Raw genomic sequence first — 11,713 nt, 5'->3', positions numbered from 1 at the left:
CAAGTCATTTAGAGTCTAATAAAGCAAGAGGAGATGGTGTATAAGTCACAGCTTCCAGTAAATCTCTGACATTTTCATCTCTCTATATAACTTTGTCCTCTGGTTGGATTTTTTTCAAAGACATTTGATAGGAGAGATTGGTCAGAGTTAGCATTTGGGAGCTGAGTCATGCCTGGGTCATAATTGGATTAAGCTTTGAACCTTACAGCTCTGGATGATAAAATTCCTAAACTGATGAAATTCTGTGGGTATTTGGGGCATCCGCCGATGGCGGCAATTTTAACACACAGATGATTTTCATCTCAGTGCCCATCACTAATTACAGAAGTAAAGACAGAAGTGTAAGCATGAGTTGACAACCACAAAAATTAGGCTTCCACCCATAACTGTTAGATATCGTATGTTATCTATTAGGTAAGAAATACTGTATAGCAGTTGACTCAATTGATGTTAGAGAAAATGGGAGAGTAGAAAAAAATAGACCTTTGCATAATTTTGAAAGGTTTAACTTAACATGGTGGTGCCATTTTAAGCACAAATAATCACATTAAAGAGAGACACTAATTTAGGTAATTTTAATCAAATTATGTTAAGGTTCTTAAAACTGATGGAGCAACCACCTAAAAAGTAGGCGATTCTGTAATTACATATTTGTAATCATTGAATAACTTTCTTCGCCCTCTTAGAACACATAGAAGTCTCTCTCTCTCTCCTCCCCCTCCTTTCTCTCTCTCTGCCTTTCTCTCTCTTTCTCTTTCTCTCTCTCTCTCCTGTCCATTTCTCCATTCATCTTCCTCCCATTTCTCCCTTCTTCTCTCTCTCTCTCACTGAAATGATAGCTCAATTTCACAAGGCCAATTAGCAAGATATTTTATACTTTTTTTCTCTTAAATCTTCTCTATATGACCCCTTCACAGCTTCTAAAAACAGGAGCGTCTGTCTCCTTCCAAATTGCAAAAAGAGAAGTAGATTTTGATCCATGCACGGAGCAATTGTCTCTGTGCCACATGAAGTCCACTGAACCCTTGATCTGGACTGATTAATAGGGTATGACTTAGTTACCATTTCAGGAAGCACAAACACCAATTCGGCATGTCTAAATACTAAGATCTGAATGTAAATTCCTCTGCATCAACCGAAGACTCTTCTCAAAATAGCTTGCCCCAATTCTAAGGACTCTCATGTTGCACCAGGCTCACCAAACTAGGCCTATTTTCTTTCCATAAGGTATTATGTTTGGGATCCACTGTTCCCTTCCGCTAACTGCAGGACTTGATTGAAGACAACGTCCTTCAAGTATTTTTGTCCTTGTTCTTCTAAAACTATGTAAGCCTTCTTGCAAAGGTATTTCTTCCACCCTTATTATCAGCTCAGGTTAAGGCAACCTTGGCTGCATCATAAGAAGCACACTTATTCCCCTTTTTCTCTCTCCTAGACAATAGATGTTCATCCCCTTTACATTAGTATAACTTAGTGGGGTCGTTCAATTATAAATAAGGACAACTTTCCATGTTAGGTGATTTTGTCTTCTCTCCCATAGCTAGGCGAGCAGTTGATTTAAAAAATGTAACTTTTCCTGAACATGTACCTATTTCATATTTGCGCCCTATTAAACGTGTGTAATAGTGCAAACACAATAACGCCTTCTAGATCTCCATTCTGTTTATCAAGGTAAATATCAGAGACATTTGTTCCACACAGTGAGAAGAACTGAGACACGATGATGGACAGTTGACTTTGTGGTTAGAGAGAAGGTTATAGGCATTGCTTACAAAATCAGAGTACCATGAGACATTCAGAAAAGGAAGAATGATTCTCATAATGATAATGACCTCCAGTTTTATTATATCTTACATACAAAAGGATCATAAATTGCCTAACAACTCCACAACTACAAATGAATATGAGAATCATTTTGTATACAACTAAAATGTGTCAGCTGTCCCACAGAGCACAGCAAAATTACTCAACAGTTTAGGACCGGAACTGAACAAAAGCAGTTGAAAGCAAAAATGACTGAGAAAGGCATGAGGTAATTATATAATCTGGAAGTGGTCCACATATCTAGGAGGGTGAGTGAAGTTTCCCCCAAGTGCTTAGGAAACTGAGAATTTAATCTCTCTCTCTCTCTCTCACACACACACACACACACATACTTATTCCTTCAGAACTGAGACTTGAAAATAAACTGAGAATATGAAAAAAAATGAAGTCATCTTAAATGTATTGGATGGTCCATTTCGATCTGTAACTATATTTAATGTCTTAACCTATCTAAAGACATTCTGTGTCTATCAGAAGGAAAACCAGGCCAGGCACAGTGGCTCATGCCTGTAATCCCAGCACTTTAGGAAGCCAAGGCGGGCAGATCACTTGAGGTCAGGAGTACAAGACCAGCCTGGCCAACATGGCAAAACCCCTTCTGTACTAAAAATACAAAAAATTTAGCCAGGCATGGTGGCACATTCCTGTAATCCCAGCTACTCAGGAGGCTGAGGCAGGAGAATTGCTTGAATCTGGGAGGCAGAGGTTGCAGTGAGCTGAGATTGCACCACTGCACTCCAGCCTGGGTGACAGAGGGAAACTGTGTCTCAAAAAAAAAAAAAAAAAAGAACGCCTTCACTGACTGGTAAATTGGAATACAAGACAAAGACCCAGTAACCAGCCACCATTTCTGCAACAACCTGGACAGAGACAACGGATACCATAATCCCACTTAGTAAACCACTGCTCTTCTGGAGGAGGACAGATTAAATTATCTCAGTCTGATCAATTAAAATAGTTTAGTTTACCTTTCCCACTCTTTGCTCACGAAAAAAACAAACAAGAAAACCCCAAATTATCATTTTGCTTGCCACGTAGGTCTACACATGGATAGAAAATGCACTAGTTTTATGTTTCTCTTAAAATCGTAGCTTCAGTGAGAGGTGTGCATTGTAAATTAACAATCTGGCATGCTAGCATTGTCAGTCTTGGAATTTGTTTATTTTACATCTTCTGCCTCTGAGCAACAGATCAACTTGCCATGCATTCATAAGCTCACGTTTCTGAATCTTCATGGTTAAGATACAGCCCCTGGAAGGTCACAAAATGACCTCTTAAGACACGTCTAATAAACGAGGAAAACATTGAAGGAGCACGTATTTGTTTGTGCAGTCAAAACACCCTGCATGATATGCTTAATAAGTATTATTCTAGTGCTAGGCTCTGCAAGACTGAAGTCCACCTGCCCAAAAAGAGGTTGAAATTTGGCAAACTGTGTTTAGGCTGGAAAATTCCCTACACTTTTTGATACAAGCGTTACCTTCTATATTTTATGCACACACACAAACTCAGAGAAAATGTGTAATTTTCAAGTGCACACAAGTAATTCAATGGGGGAAAAATAAAGTGCATTGATTCATGTTGATGAGGATTTCTTAATAAATATTTTTCTCTGTAGATATATACTCAACACTGCCAATTGTGTAATAAGGACAATTGCTTCACATATCATGAGGTACTGGTATGTAATTCCTTGCCTTAATCATTGCAACCTTTTGCACTAGCAGTCAAATTCTCTAATTTTCCCATACCACATGACAATCGTTAGACTTTAGTATCTCGCAAATACATTTAACTACTGCCTTTTTCTATTTACTATCCCCAAACCATTGATATTTCCTCATAAGTGTAGCATTTTTGATCATTACTTGTTTAAAATCACTTGTTTTTCAATAGTGATGGTTTGGAGGCTTTGTGGAAAATAAATAGACCATACTTAGGCGGGTGGGTCAATATCTAAACTTTCTATGCAATTGCCATACTTTTATTGCTTGCACTAATTTATTACTGTTATTTTAGAGATGAGGTCTTGCTATGTTGCCCAGGTTGGACTCCAATTCCTGGGCTCAAGTTTTCCTCCCACCTCAGCCTCCCGAGAAGCTGGAATTACAGGCACATGCCACCACACCCAGCTTATTTACTCTAATTTTAAAGTAAGTCATAAAATTAGGTAAAGTCCTCTAACTTCGCTCTTCCAAAACTTGTCTTAGCTCTTCTAGATCCTCCCTCCCCCCAAAAATGCCTGCTTTTAAAAGATAACCTGACTTTCATTTGATTCAGCTGAAAGTATATATCAATTTTAAGATATTGGAAATTATCACACTACTGAGTCTTCCAGTCTATAAACATGTGACTTATCTGTGTTTATTTGAGTTTTTTGACATCCTCCATCAAGGTTATATAGTTTTTTAATATAGAGATTTACACATTTTCATTAGATTTATTCCCAAGAATTTTATGAATTTTATAGTCTTGTAATCAATTATTTTTTATTTTGATTTTCTACTTGTGTATATGCATAAAGGTAATCCACCAGGAGGTATGATTTTAAGTTCTTTTTTATTATACAGTCCCTTTATCATATATAGGAAGGTTACTTATTGTGCTAATTTGCTGAGAGCTTTTACCATGAACGTCGGTAGATGTTTGTCAAATACTTTCTCTTTTACATCTGAGATGAGCATACATTTTCTCTTCAATTAATAAGGTATATGAGATGTAAATTTATTCAGTGAAAGATGTGAATGCTCAGTGATTTAACTAATTCACATTTTATTATATCTGTATAAAATATTTAACTGCTACCAAGAATTTTGTTTTCTAATTTAATTTTATTTAAAGAGAAATACTAGTTAACTCCTCGGGGAATTTCTATTATTTCTCTCAGTGTAACTTTGAAAACTAGATTAAAATCTTTAAATCCAAATGGTACTTTTAAAAGGATTACAGTAGCTCAACTATAAAGATAATTAGCTATATTCTATTCTAAAAGAAAAAATCAGGGCTGGACACAGTAGCTCATGACTGTAATCCCAGCACTTTAGGAGGCTGAGGCAGGTGGATCACTCTAGCCCAGGAGCCTGAGACCAGCCTGGGCAACCAAGAGACACCCCGTCTTTACCAAAACATTAACAAATTAGCTGGTGTGGTGGTACATGCCTGTAGTCCCAGCTACTTCAGAGGCTGAGGTGGGAGGATTGGTTGGGCTCAGTACTTCTAGGCTGCAGTGAGCTCTGTTTGAACGCCACTGCACTTCAGCCTGGGCGACTCTATCTCTGAAAAGAAAGAAAGAATGGCCAGGCGCGGTGGCTAACGCCTGTAATCCCAGCACTTTGGGAGGCCGAGGCGAGTGGGGATCACGAGGTCAGGAGATCAAAATCATCCTGGATAACAGGGTGAAACCCCGTCTCTACTACAAATACAAAAAAATTAGTCGGGTGTGGTGGCGGGCGCCTGTAGTCCCAGCTACTGGGGAGGCTGTGGCGGAAGAATGGCGTGAACCCGGGAGGTGGAGCTTCCTGGGCGACAGAGCGAGACTCTGTCTCCAAACAAAAAAAAAAGAAAGAAAAGAAAGGAAGAGGAAAGAAAGAAAGAAAGAAAAAAGAAAGAAAGAGAGAGAGAGAAAGAGAGGGAGAAAGAATAAAGAGAGAAAGAGAGAAGAGAGAGAAGAGAAGAAAGAAAGAAAGAAAAAAGAAAGAGAGAGAGAAAGAGAGAGAGAGAAAGAGAGGGAGAAAGAGAGAACAAAGAGAGAGAGAAGAGAGAGAAGAGAAGAAAGAAAGAAAGGAAAAGAAAAAATAAAGAAAGAAAGAAGAAAGAGGGAGAAAGAGAGAAGAAAGAAAGAGAGAAAGAGAGAAGAAAGAAGAAAGAAAGAAAGAAAAAGAAAAAGAAGAAAGAAAGAAAAGAAAAGAAAGAAGAAAGAAAAAAGGAAGGAAGGAAGAAATTTTTTCTTATTGGCATATAGTTAGGCAAATAATTTGCAATCTCAGCTCACTGCAACTTCCGCCTCCTGGATTCAAGCAATTCTCCTGCCTCAGTCTCCCAAGTAGCTTGGACTACAGGTGTATGCCACCATGCTGGGCTAATTTTTGTATTTTTAGTAGAGATGGGGTTTTGCCAGGTTGGCCAGGCTGTTCTCAAACTCCTGGCCTTGGATCCATCCACCTCCACTTCCCAAAGTGCTGGGATTACAGGCGTGAGCCACCATGCCTGGCCTAGATATGTATATTTTTAAAATAAAATATGCCAAATGTCCTCCTGTGTCTGACTTGTTTTACTTAGTCCAGTGTTCTCTAGGTTCACGCATGTTGTTGAAGATGGCAGCATTTCTTTCTTTTTTATGGCTGCCTAATATCATTTTTCTTTCTCCATTCATCTGTAGACAGCCACCGAGGTTGTTTCCATCTTGGCCATTGTGAATAATGCTGCAATGAATCCTAGGGTTCATTCCATTTCTCTTCTCTCTTCCTGTAGAACGGAACTCCAGAAGCCTCATGCTTTTAGGAAAGCAATAAGCACAGCTTTTTTGGATGATACTGCAACGGTGGCTGCATGGCATGATACATTTGTTCAAGCCCATAGCATGCACAGCACTGAGTGAACCCTAATGTAAACTGTGGACATTGGTTTGTAACTGAACACAGGTCCGGATGCTCACTGCGTACAGAGTCCAGTAACAAGAGTGAGGTCTGGTAGAAAGAAAATGACTTTATTAACCAAAACTAGTGAAGGGGAAATGATTGGATGCCTATCCAAAGTAACCACTTCAATTTGGTGGGGGGAAGGAAGGGGTTTAAAAAGGGGAAAACTTGTTAAGAAAGGCATGCAAGAATTGGGCTGAGTACAATGCCTTTGTGTCTTGTCCTGGTGGCTGTCTTGGGACCCAGTCCACCTGGACCTCGGGCTGAGCAAAATGTCTGTGTGTCTTATGCTGGTGGCTGTCTTGGGTCCCAGTCCACCTGGCCTTTGGGCTGATGTCATCTCCACAATGGCTGGGTTGTTGGCTAGCCACCTTGAAGTAATCTCTGGAACTTTGCAGCTGGATCTCTAGGCTTGGTGTGTCTGTCTCAAGATCAGCCCCGGAACATCTACGAAGACACGAAGTCAGATACTAGCATACAGTTAGATAAAAAAGAAGGAAGTATATATGGTGAAAAAGAGTGGTACGTGGAGTGTATTTTAAGGCTAAGGAAAAAAGGCTCTGCGGTTTGCCTCCAGTTTACCTCTTGAAACCTAAGAGAAAGAGAAAAAAAATGTTTCAGAATGCATTTTGAAATTGCCTGGTTACAGGTTGATAACGATATGTTGTGTAGGTGCATCAATGGTAATAAATGTATCACCATGGTGGGTTAATGTCAAACATGAAAGAGGTTGTGCATGTGTGGAGATAGGGGGTACATGGAAAATGTCTGTAGCTTCTGCTAAATTTTGCTGTGAACTTAAAGCTGCTCTAAAAAATAAGGTTTTATTTTTTAAAAGTTCATAATTCTAGGGAGTGATGGACAGATGCAGAAAAAATGAACAAATAAAGAAAAGAAGATGCTGGGAAGTCCATGGACAAAGTCAATTCGAGCAAAAAAAGCTAAAAATGACAGAAAAGCCATCAGTGAACTTCACTGAAACTGTACCCAAGCGTAAAACACTTTCTGTTTCAGAACCGAGAAACAAAGCTGCCACTCAAGCTCATACCATCACTAAGGGTAGAGCTGCAACTCAAACCCAGGTGTGTCCACTTTATTCGTTCCTCTGTAGCAAATCACCAATGACATTAAAAAAAACAGTAACCAGAAATAAGTGTGGGATATAATTATCGCAATGTGCAGATGAAGAAGGGTTTCTCATGCAGGAAGTTAACAAGATAATATATAGTTTTAATTAAAATGAGCTATTTTTGGATGGTGACAAACTGCAGAACATACATTACTTACTGTGGTAGGACATGAAAATAAATCAATTTACAATATAACATCCAGCAGATAGCTGTTTTTCTGTGTACAGGAAAGTAAAAAGTCTACTTACAAGGATACAAAGAACACAAATGTTTCACTGAGATGTTTAGTGAATTGAAGGAGGCCTCACTTATGTTAACCTCATAATCACCATGCTGCTTTATTTTCTAAGATCTCTGAAGAGACAGCCTCACAGGCAACTTAATTCATTTGTTGCTAGTCAACTTCATAAAGCAAACACTTCATTTTGTGGTTGTGGTAGATTTTTTTTTTCCTTAGTATGTTTTCTAGGAACTTAGTGTAAATTTGCCACAGGGCACACTACTTCAGAAGGCTTTCTCTCTTTAAAAATTATTTTGAGTTATTAAAAATACTTCAAATCATTTATCTATCATCTTCTCTGTTTATCTATCTGTCAATCATCTTATCTATATATTATCTACCTATATCTATGATCTATATAAGCTATAATCTCTATATAAATTATCTATTGATGTATCTATCATCATATCTATGTATAAACTCGATCTATTATCTATCTATATAATCAATCACCTATTTACCATCTATATCTCTATCATCCTATCTATCTATATATCTATCGTCTACCTATATCTATCAATCATCTATCATCTATCTGTCTACTTATCTATCATTTATGTATCATCCTATATATTTATATATTATCTATCTATATTCTGTAGCTATCATCTGTCTAAACTATTATCTATTTCTCCATATATATATATATATAATTATTATTATACCAAAACTGAGAAGCCACTTCTCAGTTTGCAAAATGTTTCACCTATATTTTCATAACTGATCCTGATAACTCAAAATAAATTTGTAACTTTTTTTTGGAATTATGCCTCTCTAGTGAGAAAAAAAATAGGTCCTTGCTTGCACTACTTTAAGGAAGTCAACTTGCTCTCCGATTGCCCCAGTTCTTATTGCCTTTTTTCCATCTCCTCAAGTTTTCCTTTAATCATTTATCTTTATCTCTAATCCTTTCCTGTGGGTTTTTCTGTTCTTTGAGCTGCTAAATGCTCATTTGTATCTTAGCTTCTAGATTTCATCCTATTAACAATTTCTACATTACTCAAATTAATTGTTTGGTTGTTTTCTTCATCTTCTTTCTTGCACACAATGGTATTTCTTGGAAACGTCCCTCAGGATGCATAGCGGAAATATTTTGGATTATGTATGGAGGATGCTAAGAACATGTGTAGCATCATCTTACTTCCAAAGGTATGCACAAATTAACGATTATTGTATATATTTTTTCTTTCAATAAATAAGAGATCTTTTAATGAAACTCAAACAGTCCCATTTGATAGCAACAGAATGTTCCAGAGGCCAGTTCAAACCACTCAGGGATCCCTTTGTGTAACTCAACCTTGTCAAGAGATGGAGGACTATTTCTGAAAAAGGGAGCAAAAATCATTCTTGGAACAATGCTTAATAATACTTTCCTCAGGTCATTGCAAAGAGTTCACAGTTATATTTAGACTGTCATTGTAAATGGAGAATTCTAAACATGAGACTGTATTAAAGCAATCAAAATTTTGCGCAAAACAAAATACCAAGAAAAAAAAGAAACATTGCATAATCACGAAAGCACCGGAATTGTCAAAACGTTGTAACAAAGCGAATACAATGAAAGAATTAAGGTTGAACAGATCACTACCTGGTAAGCATCACTCTCTTTGTCTGGAATATGCAGGTAACACTATGATTATCTACCTAGGGCTCTGTGAAGAATAAATGAGGAAATGCCTACATGGCACTGAGTCTTGCCACCACATACCAAGCTCCACATTAGTGTCAAGTGTCGTCACTTTAGAACACTTACATTGGCCCTGCTTGCTGAGTGCATGCATTCATATTTCAAATATTTTTTCTAAGTATATTATTTTTCTTTACTCCTATTGTCCAGATTGCAATTAACTGTTACTGTCTAGTATCTTACTTTTGCCTGCATTTTTCTACACTTTTATCTCTTGCAAGCACCTTCTAGGAGATTTCCATAATCTGAAATTGTGACTCAATAAAATGGTTTTGTAGATTTTTCATGCTTGTCCAATTTATTGGTTCTGTATTCAATTGTGTGTGTGAGTGTGGATATATGTATGTATATATATAATTGCATATATGCCCCTATAGTTACATTTAAATATGTACAAATACATTTTCTTATTGTGCATATATTTACTATACGTGAATATATTATATATACTATAACTGTGTGTATGTATATATATTTATGTGTGTGTGTATATATATATATTTTTTTCTATTATTTCCATGGGATGCCCTTTATATATGTGTATCAGGATATATGAAATATATATACACACATATATGTATATACATGTATGTATATATAATTGCACATATGTGTTGATATAAATATATAAATTTTCTTCTTGTGTGTATATTATATATAAAAATTATATATAAAGTATATATGTTATATAATCATGTGTGTACAAATATGTTTACATATACATATTATTTATTTCCTAATATTTCCACAGTACCTTTTAATGCCTTTCATGGCTTCATTTTATATATATGAACACAAACACACAAACTTATACATGTATGTATGTCAGGAGATATGACATCTATATAATTACATATTTATTTTCTGATATTTACATATATAATTTTGTGCATATTTGTTATATATAAACACATATAAATAAGGTATATATACTATATACTTTATAACTTCATATCATTGTGTGTATATATGTGCTTATATATGTTTATATATATAATTTCTGATATTTTCTCAGTATATCTTTATTTCTCTTTCTTAATTTTATGCACACACACACACATATATATCTAACTAGTATAAGTTTATGGCAGGAGATGTGAGATATATATCTTCATCTTCATATGTATATATAAATATATATAAAGTTTCTTCTTGTGCATATAGTTATATATAAATATGTTATATATACTATATATAATTGTGTGTATGTATGTGTTTATATAATTAGACAGGTATATAATTCCTAAGATTTCCATAAGATAACTTTTTTGGCTTTATTATATATACACACACATATATATGTATATATATATAAAAGTTCTATAAATATATGTCAGGAGATGTGAGAGATAGATAGATACACACACATATACACACACTATATATATACATACGTCTGTAATATTTCTGTTTTTTTTAGACATTCTCACTTTGTCGTCGCCCAGGCTGGAGTGCAGTGGCAGGATCTCGGCTCACTGCAACTTCTGCTGACTGGATTCAAGTGATTCTCTTCCCTCAGCCTCCCGAGTAGCTTGGATTACACATATGCACCACCACCCCCGGCTAATTTTTGTGTTTTTAGTAGAAACAGCATTTCATCATGTTGGCCAGTTTGGTCTTGAACTCCTGACCTCAAGTGATCTGCCTGCCTCAGCCTCCCAAAGTGCTGGAATTACAGGCTTGAGCCACCACCCCGGCCATATTTCATTAAGCACTTTGCTCACTTGTTCTGATAAATTAGCTTTAGATGTGTCGGTCAGTCCAGTCAGGATACCAAAAATCTCACTACGTGCTTCAACAGAGAAATTTCACGCAGAGATTGTTAGAGTATCAAGAGCTGAAAGCACCAAAAAGAATCACCGGGGTGCCCGAGGTAATATCCAAAGGAAGATGCTGCCGTCACAAGGTTGGGAATATCTGACAGGGAGGGGCCCCAGCAGAACTCAGGGCAGATAGCTTTGCTGGGCTACCTGTTTGTATGTCCAAGTGTATGGAGTGAGCCCAGTTCTGGGAGTGCTGCAAGAAGCTGGAAGCTGCCGGAACTCATGGCTGTGGACAGAGTGGCCTGGAGAAAGAAGGCTGCTCTTTCTCTTCTATTCTTTGATTCTCTTCCGTGTCTACTCTCTAGTAAAACATCTAGAGAAGAGCTAAAGAG

The sequence above is a fragment of the Homo sapiens genome, chromosome X, assembly GCF_000001405.40.
Source record: "Homo sapiens chromosome X, GRCh38.p14 Primary Assembly".
In the NCBI taxonomy this organism is placed as follows: domain Eukaryota; kingdom Metazoa; phylum Chordata; class Mammalia; order Primates; family Hominidae; genus Homo; species Homo sapiens.
Note: the sequence above shows the minus strand (reverse complement) of the source record.